This window comes from Homo sapiens, chromosome 7, assembly GCF_000001405.40.
Source record: "Homo sapiens chromosome 7, GRCh38.p14 Primary Assembly".
In the NCBI taxonomy this organism is placed as follows: domain Eukaryota; kingdom Metazoa; phylum Chordata; class Mammalia; order Primates; family Hominidae; genus Homo; species Homo sapiens.
The window spans coordinates 55,853,799-55,871,640 of record NC_000007.14 but is presented as its reverse complement, the minus strand read 5'-3'; the positions used below and the strand labels follow the sequence as shown (position 1 = coordinate 55,871,640).

Below are 17,842 nucleotides of genomic sequence, written 5' to 3'. Positions count from 1 at the left end.
TAGTTGTTCTTCCTGATGCTTTCCCTCCTCCTACCTCCTACCCTCCGACAGGCGCCGGTGTGTGTTGTTCCCCACCATGTGTCCATGAGTTCTCATCATTCGGCTCGCACTTGTGAGCGCGAGCCGAATGATGAGAACACGTGGTATTTGGTTTTCTGTTACTGCATTAGTCTGATGAAGATAATGGCTTCCAGCTCCATCCATGTCCCTGCAAAGGACATGATCTTTCTTGTTCCTTTTTATGGCTGCATAGTATTCCATGGTATATCTATACCAGATTTTCTTTATCCAATCTATTATTGATGGCGATTGAGGCTAATTCCATGTCTTTTTATTGTGAATAGTGCTGCAGTGATCATACAAGTACATGTATCTTTATAATAGAATCATTTATATTCCTCTGGGTATACACCCAGTAATGGGATTGCTGAGTCAAATGGTATTTCTGCCTCTGGGTCTTTGAGGAATCGCTACACTGTATTCCACAATGGCTGAACTAATTTACTCTCCCACCAACAGTGTAAAAGTGTTCCTTTTTCTCCACAACCTCACCAGCATCTGTTGTTTTTTGACTTTTTAATAATCACTATTCTGACTGGTGTGAGACGGTATCTCATTGTGGTTTTGATTTGCATTTCTCTAATGATCAGTGATCTTGAGCTTTTTGAGTGCATGTATGTATGTCTTCTTTTGACAAGTGTCCGTTCATGTCCTTTGCCCACTTTTTAATGGTGGTGTTTTTTTCTTGTACAATCGTTTAAGTTCCTTATAGATGGTGGATATCAGACATTTATCAGATGGATGGATTGCAAAAATTTTCTTCCATTCTGTAGGTTGTCTGTTTACTCTGTTGATTGTTTCTTTTGCTGTGCAGAAGCTCTTTAATTAGATCCCATTTGTCAATTTTTGCTTTTGTTGCAATTGTTCTGTCCTCTTTGTTGTGAAATCTTTGCCCGTGCCCATGTCCTGAATGGTGTTGCCTAGGTTTTCTTCTAGGGTTTTTATAGCTTTGAGTTGCACATTTAAGTCTGTAATCTATCTTGCATTGATTTTTGTGTATGATGTAAGGAAGATGTCCAATTTCAATTTTCTGTATATGGTTAGCCAGTTCTCCCAGCATCTCTGTAATTTTTTAGAGACAGGGTCTTGCTCTGTTGCCAAGACTGGAGTGCAGTGGCACAATCCTAGCTCACTGCAACCTCAAATCCCAGGCTGCTTTTGAGTTTTAAAAAAGTTATTTATGTATTCTAGATTCAAGTTCAGTGTTAAATGTGTGGTATGAAAATATTTTCCCCTAGTCTGTAGCCTGTCTTTTTATCCTTTACATAGAATTTTCACAGTGCAAATATTTTTAATTTTTAAATTTTGATGATAATTTACCAGTTTTTTCTTTTATGTATTGTCTTTGTTGTCAAGTCTAAGAATTTTTCACCAGCGCCAGGTCCTGAAATTTTTCTCCTTTTTTCCAAACTTTTATAGGGGCCAAGTGCAGTGGCTCACACCTGGAATCCTAGCACTCAAGGTGATCACTTGAGGCCAGGAGTTTGAGACCAGCCTGGCCAACATGGTGAAACCCCATCTTTACTAAAAATACAAAAATTGGCTGGGCATGGTGGCTCACGCCTGTAATCCCAGCACTTTAGGAGGCCAAGGCGGGTGGATCGCCTGAGGTCAGGAGTTCAAGACCACCCTGGCCAACATGGTGAAACTCCATCTCTACTAAGAAAACACAACAATTAGTTGGGTGTGGTGGTACGTGCCTGTAGTCCCAGCTACTTGGGAGGCTGAAGCAGGAGAATCATTTGAACCTGAGAGGCGGAGGTTGCAGTGAGCCAAGATTGCACCACTGCACTCCAGCCTAGGTGACAGTGAGACTCCATCTAAAAAAAAAAAAAATAAATAAATAAAATTGTGTCTGGAATTGGTGGGTTCTTGGTCTCACTGACTTCAAGAATGAAGCCGCGGACCCTCGCGGTGAGTGTTACAGCTCTTAAGGTGGCGTGTCTGGAGTTTGTTCCTTCTGATGTTCGGATGTGTTCGGAGTTTCTTCCTTCTGGTGGGTTTGTGGTCTCCCTGGCTCAGGAGTGAAGCTGCAGACCTTCGTGGTGAGTGTTACAGCTCTTAAGGCAGCGCTTCTGGAGTTGTTTGTTCCTCCCGGTGGGCTCGTGGTCTCGCTGGCTTCAGGAGTGAAGCTGCAGACCTTTGTGGTGAGTGTTACAGCTCATAAAAGAAGTGTGGACCCAAAGAGTGAGCAGTAGCAAGATTTATTGCAAAGAGCAAAGAACAAAGCTTCCACAGTGTGGAAGGGGACCTGAGCTGGGTTGCCACTGCTGGCTCGGGCAGCCTGCTTTTATTCTCTTATCTGGGCCCACCCACGTCCTGCTGATTGGTAGAGCTGAGTGGTCTGTTTTGACAGGGCGCTGAGTGGTGCGTTTACAATCCCTGAGCTAGACACAAAGGTTCTCCACGTCCCCACCAGAGTAGCTAGATACAGAGTGTCGATTGGTGCATTCACAAACCTTGAGCTAGACACAGGGTGCTGATTGGTGTGTTTACAAACCTTGAGCTAGATACAGAGTGCCGATTGGTGTATTTACAATCCCTGAGCTAGACATAAAGGTTCTCCAAGGCCCCACCAGAGTAGCTAGATACAGAGTGTCAATTGGTGCATTCACAAACCCTGAGCTAGACACAGGGTGCTGATTGGTGTGTTTACAAACCTTGAGCTAGACACAGAGTGCTGATTGGTGTATTTACAAAACTGACCAGCATTAACATCAACAGACTTTAAGTCTGATAAGAAACATTTACAATCTGTTCTCCCTGAATCTTGCTACTTGGAGGCTTCATCTGCATAATAAAACATTGGTTTCCAGAACCCTTTATTGTTACCCAGACATTCCTTTCTATTGATAACAATTCTTTCAACCAATTGCCAATCACAACATTTAAAAATCTACTTATGACCTTGAACCTCCCCTCCCCACACAACTTCAAGTTGTCTCACCCTTCCAGATCAAACCAATGTAAATTTTACACATATTGATTGATGTATATTATGTCTCCCTGATGTGTAAAAGCAAACTGTACCCCTGACCACTTTGGGCACATGTCATCGGGACCTCCTGATGCTGTGTCACAGGAGTGTCCTTAACCTTGGCAAAATAAACTTTCTTTTTCTCTTTTTTTGGAGATGGAGTCTTGCTCTGTCACCCAGGCTGGAGTGCAGTGGGCATGATCTTGGTTCGCTGCAACCTCCACCTCCTGGGTTCCAGCAATTCTCCTGCCTCAGCCTATAGGTGCCTGCCACCATGCCCGGCTAATTTTTGTATTTTTAGTAGACGGGGTTTCACCATGTTAGCCAGGCTGGTCTCAAATCCTGACCTCAGGCAATCCACCCACCTTGGCCTCCCAAAGTGCTGGAATTACAGGCGTGAGCCACCGCACCCGGCCTAAACTTTCTAAATTGATTGAGACCTGTCTCAGATACTTTTAGGTACACACACCCATTAGGATGGCTGCTATCCAAAACCACAGTAACATGTGCTGGTGAAGTCATGGAGAAGTTCGCACCCTGTGCATGTTGCTGGGAATGTAAAATGGTGTGGCTGCTGTGTTTGGGTTTTCTTTAAAAATTAAACATAGATGCTGGGCACAGTGGCTCACGCCTGTAATCTGAGCACTTTGGGAGGCTGAGGCAGGCGGATCACCTGAGATCAGGAGTTTGAGAACAGCCTGGCCAACATGGCAAAACCCTGTCTCTACTAAAAAGACAAAAAGTAGCCAGGCACAGTGGCGTGCGCCTGTAAGCCCAGCTACTCGGGAGGCTGAGGGAGGAGAATCGCTTGAACCCGGGAGGCAGAGGTTGCAGTGAGCCGAGATCACGCCATTATACTCCAGCCTGGGTGACAGAGTGAGGCTTAGTCTCAAACAACAGCAACAACAACAACAGCATTAAGCATAGAATTACCATACGATTCAACAATTCCACCTCAGGGTGTATGCCCAAAAGAATAGAAAGCAGGGTCCAGAAAAGATATTTGCACATTTATATTCACAGCAGCATTATTCACAATAGCCAACAGGTGGAAGCAACTGAAATGTCCACTGATAAATGAATGGATAAGCAATATATGGTATGTATGTACAATGGAATATCATTTAGCCCTAAAAAGGAAGGAAATTCTGACACATGTTAAAACAGAGATGAACCTTGAAGACATTATGCTAAATGAAATAATTCAGTCACAAAGGGACAAATGTTACAGAATCCCATTTGTATGAGGTACCTAAAGTAGTCAAATTCATAGACACAGAAAATACAATTGTGAGTCCCAGAAATAGGGGAGAAAGGATAGTTATTGTTTTATGGATATAAAGTTTTAGTTTGGGAAGATTTGGATTTTTTGAGAGCTATTGCACAGGTTGGTGAATATACTTAGTAATTGTGCACTGTTGGCCAGGTGTGGTGGCTTACGCCTGTAATCCCAGCACTTTGGGAGGCTGAGGTGGGCGGATCACCTGAGGTCAGGAGTTCGAGACCAGCCTGCTTAACATGGTGAAACCCCATTTCTACTAAAAATACAAAAAATTAGCAGGGCGTGGTGGTGCATGCCTGTAATCTCAGCTACTCGGGAGGCTGAGGAAGGAGAATCGCTTGAACTCGGGAGGCAGAGGTTGCAGTGAGCCGAGATAGCACCATTGCACTCCAGCCTGGGCAACAAGAGTGAAACTCTGTCTCAAAAAAATAAAAAAAGAAAAAAGAAAATACTTGTGCACTGTCCATTTCAAAATTACTAAGACGGTAAATTTCAAATGTTCTCACCACAAAAAAACTAAATATTTCAGGTTATGAGTATGTCAATTTGATTAGTTATTTCATATTGTACTAAAAATTTATGACATCACTTTGTACCCATAACTATATATAATGATAATTTGTCGATGTATAATAAAATTTAAAAAAATCTGGTCTGTCTGACTCTTCAAATGGATCGTAAACTCACGTGTATCTTTGTAATGTCAGGCATTGGTCATTTTTTTTTTTTTTTTTTTTTTTTGAGACGGAGTCTCGCTCTGTGGCCCAGGCTGGAGTGCAGTGGCGGGATCTCGGCTCACTGCAAGCTCCGCCTCCCGGGTTCACGCCATTCTCCTGCCTCAGCCTCCCAAGTAGCTGGGACTACAGGCGCCCGCCACTACGCCCGGCTAATTTTTTGTATTTTTAGTAAAGACGGGGTTTCACCGTTTTTTTAGCCGGGATGGTCTCGATCTCCTGACCTCGTGATCCGCCCGCCTCGGCCTCCCAAAGTGCTGGGATTACAGGCGTGAGCCACCGCGCCCGGCCAGGCATTGGTTATTTGAAAAACATCTGTTGGTCAGGCGCAGGGGCTCATGCCTGTAATCCTAGCACTTCGGGAGGCCGAGGCGGGCCAGTCACAAGGTCAGGAGATCAAGACCATCCTGGCTAACATGGTGAAACCCCATCTCTACTAAAAATACAAAAAATTAGCCAAGTACAGTGGCACGTGCCTGTAGTCCCAGCTACTTGGGAGGCTGAGGCAGGAGAATCACTTGGACCCAGGAGGCAGAGGTTGCAGTGAGCCGAGATTGTGCCACTGCACTCCAGTCTGGGCGACAGAGTGAGACTCTGTCTCAAAAAAAAAAAAAATCAAACATTTGTATTGTTAATATCTCTACCAATGTTTTTAGAAAAGTTTTTAAATGTTGGGAAGCTATCAAGATCATGATGGTTGATAGAATTTCTCCAAAAACTCTAATTTTAGCTGTAAAGCTCATATTACAAAATTTACAAAAGTGTAAATTTTATCATTTAAAAAGTACATTTTCACTTAGTTTTCTAATCTTTTCTTTTCATTCATTATTTTTTGTTTGTTTGTTTCTTTAGACAGGATCTCACTCTGTTGCCCTGGCTGGAGTGCAATGGCGTGATCATAGCTCACTGTAGCCTCAAACTCTGGCGCTCCAGCAATCTTTCTGTCTCAGTCTCCGGAGTAGCTGGGACTACAGGCACGCACCACCATGCCTGACTAATTTTTAAATTTTTCTTTTGTAGAGACTGGGTCTCACTATGCTGACCAGGCTAGTTTCAGACTTCTGGGCTCAAGCAGTTCTCCTGCTTCAGATTCCCAAGTGCTGGTATTGCACGATCCACCTCGCCTGGCTTAGTTATTTTTCTTGATGTTACAAACCATGCTTCATTCATTTTCAAGAATCTGTCTTAGAAATCCCCAAGCTTGGCCCGGCGCGGTGGCTCACGCCTGTAATCCCAGCACTTTGGGAGGCCGAGGCGGGTAGATCACGAGGTCAGGAGATGGAGACCATCCTGGCTAACACGGTGAAACCCCGTCTCTACTAAAAATACAAAAAAATTAGCTGGGCGTGGTGGTGGGCGCCTGTAGTCCCAGCTACTCGGGAGGCTGAGGCAGGAGAATGCCGTGAACCCAGGAGGCGGAGCTTGCAGTGAGCTGAGATCGCTCCACTGCACTCCAACCTGGGTGACAGAGTGAGACTCAGTCTCAAAAAAAGAGAAATCCCCAAGCTTAAATCATCAGTGTTTGTCAGTTGCACTTGAAATTAATAACGTTCCGTAAAAAAAGGAGTTCCTATTTCTCAAAACTCAATCAATCACAGAACTTGTTTTCCTCAAGGCAACCATCATACTTGTATACAGTATAAATGCTTTACGTGTATTCATTGGTTTTTATTGTTGTGAATATGTGAAGTGAATAGTTCAATAACTAATAATACAATTTGGAGGCATTTTTTTGGTGCAGGTAGCAGTTTTTTGTGTTTTGTTTTGTTTTGTTTTGAGATGGCGTCTTGCTCTTGTTGCTCAGGCTGGAGTGCAGTGGCATGACCTCTGCTCACTGCAACCTCTGCCTCCTGGGCTCAAGCAATTCTCCTGCCTCAACCTCCCGAGTAGATGGGATTACAGGTGCCAGCGACTACGCCAAGCCATTTTTTGTATTTTTAGTAGAGACAGGGTTTTGCCATGTTGGCCAGGCTGGTCTCGAACTCCTGACCTCAGGTGATACACCCACCTTGGCCTCCCAAAGTGTTAGGATTACAGGTGTGAGCCACCGTGCCCGGCTGAAGGTAGCAGTAGTTTCAACCACCATTGCTTTTGAACCATCAGTGTAAACATCAACACAGTAGAAAGGCAAATTAAACCCTACTATTGGCTAAGTGCAGTGGCCATACTACTCACACCTGTAATCCCAGGACTTTGGGAGGCCAGGCAGAAGAATTGCTTGAGTTCAGGAGTTCAAGATCAGCCTGGGCAACATGGCAAAACCCTGTCTCTACAAAAAAGTACAAAAATTAGCAGGGCATGATGGCAGGTGCCTGTAATCCCAGCTATTTGGGAGGCTGAGGTGTGGAGGATCGCTTGAGTTTGGGAGGTTGAGGCTACAGTGAGTTGCGACTGCGCCATTGCGCTCCAGCCTTGGTGACAGAGTGAGAACCTATCTCAAAACAAAAACAAAAAACAAAAAACCCTAGTATTATTAGAAAAAAATTGAACCCATAGGCCCCCCGCAAAAGAATCTCAGGAATCCTCAGGGCCCAGTGATCGTACTTTGAAAAACTTCTGCTCTAGACTTATGTGAAAGAAATAAACCCCTCTTTGTTTAAGACACTTAATTAGGCTTTTAAATACAAGATAAGTTGCATCTCTAGTTCTCAAATAATTTTTGGCAGATTTGCCAAAAATTCAGTCATTATACAGAGATAGAGACTCTTGAATTTTGTAGTAGTTTACTTCAAATTACTACAGTATTTCAAAAACAATATTTATTGTTGATTTAAATAAACATTGTTATTTATTTTTTGAGTCAGAGTCTTGTTCTGTCTCCCAGGCTGGAATGCAGTGGCGGGATCTTGGCTCACTGCAACCTCCACCTTCTGGGTTCAAGCAATTCTCGTGCCTCAGCCTCCTGAGTTGCTGGGATTACAGGCCTGCACCGCTATGCCCAGCTAAGTTTTGTATTTTTAGTAGAGATGGGATTTTGCCATGTTGGCCAGTCTGGTCTGAAACTCTTGGCCTCAAGTAATCCGCCTGCCTCGGCCTCCCAAAGTGCTGGGATTATAGGTGTTAGCCACTGTGCCTGGCCAAACATTGTTGACTTAAATCAACAATGTTTGTTGCTGATTTCCATTAAAGGCTAGAAATTACTGGCCAGGTGCGGTGGCTCACACCTGTAATCCCAGCACTTTGGGAGGCTGAGGCAGGTGGATCACAAGGTCAGGAGATTGAGACTATCCTGGCTAACACAGTGAAACCTCATCTTTACTAAAAATACAAAAAATTAGCTGGGCGTGGTGGCGGGTGCCTGTAGTCCCAGCTACTAGGGAGGCTGAGGCAGGAGAATGGTGTGAACCCAGGAGGTAGAGCAAAAAAAAAAAAAGGCTCAAAATTACTGCAATGTCCACCATTAAGTTTCTGATAAATAAATAAATTTTAAAAACCTTCATACATACTGGTCTAGATTAAACCACACCACAAAACAGAACTCTATCTATATCAGAAAACATTGCTTAATTTTAGGGAAAATGATATACGTTTGTATACTAAAGTGCAATAATCCTCAGGATAGAGCAAGTGAAGAGATTATGGCACAGAACCATTCTTTGATTCTGTTTGCTTCTCAAATATTTCAAATACTTGCTTTATAAATATATAATATTTCCTTTTGAAACATGTCTCATATTCTTAGTATCTCTGTGCTGTGTTCAAAAGTAGGGTAGCATGGCCTTCTCAGGCAGTTCTGCTTGGAGATGAGCACAGCACGCTCTCTTGTACCTCTCCTCCCTGTTCCCAACTGTTACAAACACAGTGAATATTTATTTGGTCCACAACTGGGGACAGTAGAAAGGACACCAGCTTGGAATCAGTTCGGACCTGTGTCTGCTGCACAGCTGAATCCCTGGGAAAGTAAGTTATTTAATCTTTCTGAGTCTGAATTTTTTCACCTGGCATATGGCAATGAAAATACATACATCTCAGATCTACTATGAGGACTAACAGAGGTAAATAAAGCACATAAACCCTTAGCACAATGCTAGCTGTATAATAGATGCTTCATAAATGAGAATTATCATTATTTTAGTTCAGTGTCTAAAGAACTTGTTTAGGTTTTTTAAGGTCTGCTTTCACAATTCTCTTTCAATGGGTAAATTCAAATGCCTAAGCCTCCTCTGGTATGCTACTCTGGAAAGTTAAGTGCTTGTGAGTGTCTTGTTTTGTTTTTTTTTTAACCATTTTTTAAAGCAAAATTTTCTACTTTCCTTTCTTACGACCATGGAGTCATTTAAAGAAGAAGAATGCTCTTATCCTCTTGATTTCCAAAGGGAGTTTAACTTTAAGATGCTTTTTGTGTGCTTATGGTTAAATGTATTACTCTACATTATAAGTTGAATATTACATATTATTCATCATGTAGAAGCCCATCTAGCAAGACAGCCACAGTTTAAAACAGATGAATAGTGTGAACTAAAAACTAAAGCTTGCAAAAATACCCATATTATGCCCCCTAATTATCTAAATTATATAGTAAGAATATAGCCTTTGTAAGAAATTTTTAAAAATGTTTATTTTTTTAAATTTCCAGCTCTTTTAGTGTAGCATGGCAGAAAGAACAATGGCTATGCCCACACAAATACCTGCTGATGGAGATACAGTTAAGTATATCTTTCAAATATAACTCTGCATTTTGTACTTCAATAAGATTATATAGCCTAAAAATATTGACTTGGAAAACTGATGTAGGCATAGAAGATAAAGTCTTGTTTGTTATGTTTGGGCATGAATTAGCTTTTATACTAATTGGAGTTTTAAGTATCAATGGTGATTTAGATAATTGTTACATGTTTTTTGAGTCCGATGACCTTGTTAGCAGTGCAACAGACTATTTCTACTTAACACCAAAGAAATTCAAAGTAAAACTTCTGAATCGCCCAATAAATGAGAAGAACAGTGCTGTTTTGATGGATATATTTGCAGAATGTATGCACTGACAATAAATAATTTTTTAATGAAGTTATTTTAGCAAATGGTTGGATGGCTGCTTGCTGATTGCTTTACTGAGTGTGAGGTTAGAGCAAGTTTTTTTTTTTTTTTTGAGACTGAGTCTGGCTCTGTTGCTCAGGCTGGAGTGCAGTGGCGTGATCTCAGCTCACTGCAACCTCTGCCTCCTGGGTTCAAGTGATTCTCCTGCCTCAGCCTCCCAAGTAGCTGGGATTACAGGCACCTGCCTTCATGCCTGGCTAACTTTTGGATTTTTTTTTAGTAGAAACAGGGTTTCACCATGTGGGCCAGGCTGGTCTCGAACTCCTGACCTCAGGTGATCTACCCGCCTCAGTCTCCCAAAGTATTGGGATTATAGGCATGAGCCACTGCGCCTGGCCTGTCATTGCTTTTCATGAATAACCATCAGAGGAATTTCTCAGGGACTGAAACATTGGCCTATGCTCATTCCATTTTATCTTTGGGCTTTCTTGTTTAACAAATCATGGTTAATACTCCTTTGTTCACATGACTCTAAAACATAAAATTTTAGGATTAGAAGGGATCCCAAAAGCCAATTAGTCAAACATTATGCAAATGCTGATATGCAAATGCTAGCAACAAATCTTTAGCAAGTGTCTTAGTCTGTTTGGGCAGCTATAACAAAATACCTCAGACTTGGTAATTTATATACAATAGAAATGCATTGTTCACAGTTCTAGAGGATGGGAAGTCCAAGATCAAAGCACCAGCAGGTTTGGTGTCAGGTGGGGGCTTACTCTCTGCTTCAAAAATGGCTTCTAGCTGTGTCCTCACATGGCAGGAGAAGCAAACAGTGTCCCTCAAGCTTCTGTTATAAAAGCACTAGTCCTATTCATGTGGGTGGAGCCATATGACCTAATTACCTCTCCAAGGACCCCTCTGTTTTTTAAAAAATTTAAATGATATGTAATATTAATACATATTGATGGGGTACATGTGATATTTTATTATATGCATAGAATACATAATAATCAAGTCAGGGTGCTTCATGTATCTATTACCTGGAATATTTATTATTTCTATGTTTTGGGAACATTTCAAATCCCCTCTTTTAGCTATTTTGAAATATACAATACATTGTTATAAACTATAGTCTCCCTACTCTGCTATAGAACATCAGAACTTATTTCTTCTGCCTAACTGAATGTTTGAACCCACCAGCCAACCTCTGTTCATCCCCCCACTACTCACACACCCTTCCCAGCCTCTGGTAGCTATCATTCTACTCTACCTCTATGAGGTCAACTTTTTAAGCTGATGCATATGAGTGACATATTTGTCTTTCTGTGTCTGACTTACTTCACTTAACATAATGACCTCTAGTTCCATCCATGTTAATGCAAATGACAGGTTTTCATTTTTTTGTGTGGCCAAATTGTATTTTTTTTTTTTTTTGAGATGGAGTTTCACTCTTGTTGCCCAGGCTGGAGTGCAATGGCATGATCTCAGCTCACTGCAACCTCTGCCTCCCAGGTTCAATTGATTCTCCTGCCGCAGCCTCCCAAGTAGCTGGGATTACAGGCATGCGCCACCATGCCTGGATAATTTTGTATTTTTAGTAGAGATGGGGTTTCAACATATTGGCCAGGTTGGTTTCAAACTCCTGACCTCTGGTGATCCACCCGCCTCAGCCTCCCAAAGTGCTGGGATTACAGGCGTGAGCCATCACGTCTGGCCCCAAATAGTATTTAAATGTGTATATATACAACTTTTTAATCCATATGTCTGTTGATGGACACTTAGGTTGATTCCATATTTTTGCTGTGGTGAATACAGGTTCAATAAACACAGGGATGCAGAGATCTCTTCTATATACTGATTTTTTTTCCTTTGGGTATATACCCAGTAGTGGGATTGCTAGATCATACGGTAGTTCCATTTATAGTGGAAACAAAGAATGAGAGAAAGAGAGGGAGGAAGGGAGAGAGGGATAAAAGAAGTGAAGGGAGGGATTGAAAAAAGAGTGACTAGGATCATAATAGAACTTAAGTTTCCATATCTTAGCTATTAAAAAAATACTGCAATGAACACAGAGCATCACACATCCTGATTTAAAATTATATTACAAAGCTATAGTAATCAGTATAGTATGGTACCATCATAGAAACAGAAACATAGACCAGTGAAACACAATAGAGCTCCCAGAAATAAATCCAAACATTCATGGTTAGCTAATTTTTGAAAAGGGCACCAAGAGGACATAATGAGGAAAAAAATCATCTCTTCACTAAATGGTTCCAGGAAAACTGAATTTCTATATGCAAAAGAATGATATTGGACCATTATCTTATACTATACCAAAAAACCAACTCAAAATAGATAAAAGACCTAAAAGTAAGACCTGAAATCATAAAACTCTGAGAAGATAACATAGGGGAAAATGTCCTGGACATTGGTCTTGACAATACTTTTTTTTTTTTTTTGAGATGGAGTTTCGCTCTTGTTAACCAGGCTGGAGTGCAATGGCGCTATCTCTGCTCACTGCAACCTCCACCTCCCAGGTTCAAGCAATTCTCCTGCCTCAGCCTCCCAAGTAGCTGGGATTATAGGAGCCCACCACCATGCCCAGCTAATTTTGGAGGCTGAAAACTGGACATCTTATGTAGAACCATAGAAACTGAGATAAGTAGATTTTATGTCTGAAACTGACATGCCTTTTCTTTTACCAGGCCTTTAGTACAGAGGTTTGTGTTTCTCTGAGTAAAGCTGGGCTTGAGATTTGATGTTGCTATAGTGTGATTCTTACTACCCTATGGGCTTTTTTTGGCGGGGGATAGAGTTTCACTCTTGTTGCCCAGGCTGGAGTGCAGTGGCACAATCTCTGCTCATTGCAACCTCTGCCTCCTGAGTTCAAGCGATTCTCCTGCCTCAGCCTCCTGAGTAGCTGGGATTATAGGCATGCGCCACCACGCCCGACTAATTTTGTATTTTTAGTGGAGAGGGAGTTTCTCCATGTTGGTCAGACTGGTCTCAAACTCTCAACCTCAGGTGATCTGCTCGCCTCTGCCTCCCAAAGTGCTGGGATTACAGGCATGAGCCACTGCGCCTGGCCTACCCTATGGGCTTTGAATGCCTCTGGTGATACCTTGTGTTGAGGGTGGGGTTGGTTTGCCAGAGGATGTTTTTCTGATGATGATTTCACCCTCAACCTTAAGTCTTCCTTTTGTGCTATGCCTCAGAAAGAGTATGTCTCTTGCAATATCTCTTGCAAAGAATATGTATCTTGACAGCAGTTAGCCTGGTGATGAAGGTACGTGAGAATACTTTTTTATTTGATTGCCAGTCTTAGGCAAACACTCTCCCTCTGGGCCCCAGGGATTTGACCTTCTCTTTCTCTTCTTCTGACATGGTTCTGAATCCATTGTGAATTTCTGCACATCTTCTAGGGCTTCAAGCTTTCTTTGTGTTCCCTACTTTCAGCAGCAATGTGCTTTCACCAGCGCCCTAAGAGAGTGCTTCCTGGCTCTTCACCCATAGATGAAGGCTTTTTTATTCTGTAGAGGAGAAAGTTGTGAGTGGAGCTTCTTGCCAGCATTGCTGCTGTTGCATGTCCCAGTTCTGTAACTTGAGAGAGATATTTTTTTTTCAGAGTCCTATCAATCTTTCACTGAATGTCTAGTTGAGTTCAAGGAGAAAAAGTTTTCAAGGAGCTACAGATTATTTTTTGTTCTACAAAAAAGACACAGGTGGCCGGGCGCGGTGGCTCGCGCCTGTAATCCCAGCACTTTGGGAGGCCGAGGCGGGCGGATCACGAGGTCAGGAGATCGAGACCATCCTGGCTAACACGGTGAAACCCCGTCTCTACTAAAAATGCAAAAAATTAGCCGGGCGTGGTGGCGGGCGCCTGTAGTCCCAGCTGCTCGGGAGGCTGAGGCAGGAGAATGGCGTGAACCCGGGAGGCGGAGCTTGCAGTGAGCCGAGATCGTGCCACTGCACTCCAGCCTGGGCGACAGCGAGACTCCGTCTCAAAAAAAAAAAAAAAAAAAAAAAAAGACACAGGCTCCCCTCCCCTCCCCTCCCCTCCCCTCCTCTCTTCCTTTCCTTTCCTTTCCTTTCCCTTCCCTTCCCTTCCCTTCCCTTCCCTCCCCTCCCCTCCCTTCCTCTCCCCTCCCCTCCCCTTCCCTTCCTTTCCTTTTCTCTCTTCTCTTCTCTCTCTTCTTTCTCTTCTCTTCTCTTCTCTTTTTTCCTTTTCTTTTCTTTTCGAGACAGAGTTTTCCTCTTGTTGCCCAGGCTGGAGTTCAATGGCTCAATCTTGGCTCACTGCAGCCTCTGCCTCCTGGGTTCAAGTGATTCTCCTGCCTCAGCCTCCTGAGTAGCTGGGATTACAGGCATGCGCCACCACACCTGGCTAATTTTGTATTTTTATTAGAGACGGGGTTTCACCATGTTGGTCAGGCTGGTCTCAAACTCCCGACCTCAGGTGATCCGCCTGCCTCAGCCTCTCAAAGTGCTGGGAATACAGGTGTAAGCCACCACGCCCATCCTGTTTTCTTTTTTTTAAATTTGAGATAGAGTCTCGCTCTGTCACCCAGGCGGGAGTGCAGTGGCACAATCTTGGCTTACTGGAACCTCCACTTCCCGGGTTCAACCGATTCTCGTGCCTCAGCCTCCTGAGTAGCTGAGATTACAGGCATGCACCACGCCCAGCTAATGTTTGTAATTTTAGTAGGGATGGGGTTTCACCATGTTGGCCAAGCTGCTCTCAAACTCCTGACCTCAAGTGATCTGCCTGCCTCAGCCTCCTGAAGTGTTGGGATTATGGGTGTGAGCCACCACACCTGGCCTGCACTTGTTTTCATCTCAGCGCTATTCACAATAGCTGAGACATGGAATCAACCTAGGTGTCCATCAGTGGCAGATTGGATTAAAAAATGTGGTACATGGCCAAGCGCGGTGGCTCATGCCTGTAACCCCAGCACTTTCGGAGGCCAAGACAGGCGGATCACCTGAGGTCAGGAGTTTGAGACCAGGCTGGCCAACATGGTGAAATCTTGTCTCTACTAAAAATACAAAAAATTAGCCAGGTGTGGTGGTGGGCACCTGTGATCTCAGCTATTCGGGAGGCTGAGGCAGGAGAATCGCTTGAACCTGGGAGGCGGAGATTGCAGTGAGCTGAAATCACACCACTGCACTCCAGCCTGGGTGACAGAGCAAGATTCCATATCAAAAAAAAAACGAAAAAGTGGTACATATACACCATGGAATACTATGCAGCTATAAAAAATGAAATGTGTCCTTTGCAGCAACATGGGTGCTGCTGGAGGCCATTATCCTAAGTTAATTAATACATGAACAGAAAACCAAATACCACATGTTCTCATTTATAAGTGGGGGTAAACATTGGGTACTCATAGACATATGAGTATGAGACTCATGCCATAGATGGCAACAATGGACACTGAGGACTACTAGAGGGTGAGGGAGGGAGGGGGTGAGGGCAGAAAATCTACCTATTGAGTACTATGCTCAGTACCTGGGTGATGGGATCATTCACACCCCCAACTCAGCACATTCAGTATTTCCTCATAACAAACCTGCAAATGTACTCTCTGAATCTAAAAGTTGAAATTACAAATAAAAATTAAATACATACATTAAATCAAACCTTAATAAATTAAAAAATATAATTAATATACCTTGTATTCTCTACTTAGAATGACAGATTTCCAAATAAGGACAAATAAAAACCAAACCAGAAAACAAACAAAAAAAAGCAGCTACAGGCCTGGGCGTGGTAGTTCACGCCTGTAATCCCAGCACTTTGGGAGGGCGAGGTGGGTGGATCACGAGGTGAGGCGTTCAAGACCAACCTGGCCAACATAGTGAAACTCCGTCTCTACTAAAAATACAAAAATTAGTTGGGCGTGGTGGCACGGCTATAACCCCAGCTACTCAGGACGTTGAGTCAGGAGAATTGCTTGAACCAGGGAGGCGGAAGTTGCAGTGAGCCGAGATCGCACCACTGCACTCCAGCCTGGTCAATAGAGCGACACTCTGTCTCAAAAAGAAAAGAAAAGAAAAGAAAAAAGCACCTACAGATGATTCCTCTTTATGGCTCATACTTTTTACTTGTCAGGCAAGGCATGTTCTAGCAATTTGCTCCTTGCTTTAGAACTCTTCTCACTGATGTCTGCGTCTTTCTTGCCTAGAAAAGTTGATGCTCCCATCTTGTCTTTTCCTGTGGGTTTCTGTCTCTCCTTCGATTCTGGAACAATTGGTCGACCTGAAACGTCAGTACTAGGATGAGTTTTTAAAAAGTTGTGATCTGACCGGGCGCCGTGGCTCACGCCTGTAATCCCAGCACTTTGGGAGGCCGAAGCGGGTGGATCATGAGGTCAGGAGCTCGAGACCATCCTGGCTAACACGGTGAAACCCCACCTCTACTAAAAATACAAAAAATTAGCTGGGCACGGTGGCGGGCGCCTGTAGTCCCAGCTACTTGGGAGGCTGAGAGAGGAGAATAGCGTGAACCTGGGAGGCAGAGCTTGCAGTGAGCCGAGATAGTGCCACTGCACTCCGGCCTGGGCGAAAGAGCGAGACTCTGTCTCAAAAAAAAAAAAAAAAAAAGTTGTGATCTTGCCTTAGTTCATTATTTTATTCCTATAGTATTAGTAGTGATGTCTTTTTTCTGCTCTCCACATCTCTGAGCAGAAGCTAGAAATGAATATAACTGATTTTTGTATATTGACTTTGTATCTTGTAATTTTGATATGTTCTCTTAGTAGTTCTGGTAGATGCTCTGTAGATTCTTGTATATTTTCTACCTTTTTTCAATATAAAATGACAAACTCTTTTGAATATTTATGCTTTTTGTTTGCCTTATTGACTGGTAAGAACCTCCAGTACAGGCCGGGTGTGGTAGCTCACGCCTGTAATCCCAGCACTTTGGGAGGCCGAGGTGGGCGGATCACAAGGTCAGGAGATTGAGACCATCCTGGCTAACATGGTGAAACCCATCTCTACTAAAAATACAAAAAATTAGCCGGGCGTGGTGGCGGGTGCCTATGGTCCCAGCTGCTCAGGAGGCTGAGGCAGGAGAATAGCGTGAACCCGGGAGGCGGAGCTTGCAGTGAGCCGAGATCGCACTACTGCACTCCAACCTGGGCGACAGAGCGAGACTCCGTCTCAAAAAAAAAAAGAACCTCCAGTACAATGTATAAAATGGCAACAGCTGACATCTCTGCTTTATTTTCAATCTTGTGAAGAAAGCACTCAGATGTTTACTATTAAGTATGATGTTAGATTTAAATTTTTTTCTAATACAGTTTTTATCAGATTGATGAAGTTCTCTTTAATTCTTATTTTACTAATAGACTTTAAAAATCACAAATGGGTATTCAATTCAATTCATCAAATATAATATTTTTCACTTATTGAGTCAGTCATATGGTGATTTTACTTTATACTATTAATATGGTGAAATATGTTTATTGATTTTTAAATTTTTTTTTTTTGAGACAGGGTTTTACTCGGTTACCCAGGCTGCAGCGCAGTGGCACAATCATAGCTCACTGCAAACTCTAACTCCTGGGCTTAAGTGATTCTCCCGCCTCAGCCTCCAGAGTAGCTGGGACGACGAGCATGTACCACCATACTCTGCTATTTTTTTAGTTTTTATTTTCAGTAGAGACAGGGTTTCACTATGTTGCCCAGATTGGTCTCGAACTCCTGAGCTCACGCGATCTTCCAGCCTCAGCCTCCCAAAATTCTGGGATTACAGGCATGAGCCACCACGCTCAGCCCTTACTTTTTAATTTTTATGGGTACATAGCAGGT

General features: G+C 43.0%; 1 protein-coding gene across 1 annotated transcript in view; it reads left to right on the top strand.

Moving 5' to 3' along the window:
• Positions 1-8,888: 8,888 nt before the first annotated feature.
• SEPTIN14 (septin 14) overlaps positions 8,889-17,842 on the top strand; it is a 69,213-nt gene continuing 60,259 nt past the window's right edge. The window contains exons 1-2 of the mRNA NM_207366.3: positions 8,889-8,953; positions 9,630-9,698. Of these exons, the coding sequence (NP_997249.2) occupies positions 9,645-9,698 (54 nt within the window). The 5' untranslated portion in view covers positions 8,889-8,953; positions 9,630-9,644. The remainder of the gene's footprint in view (positions 8,954-9,629; positions 9,699-17,842) is intronic.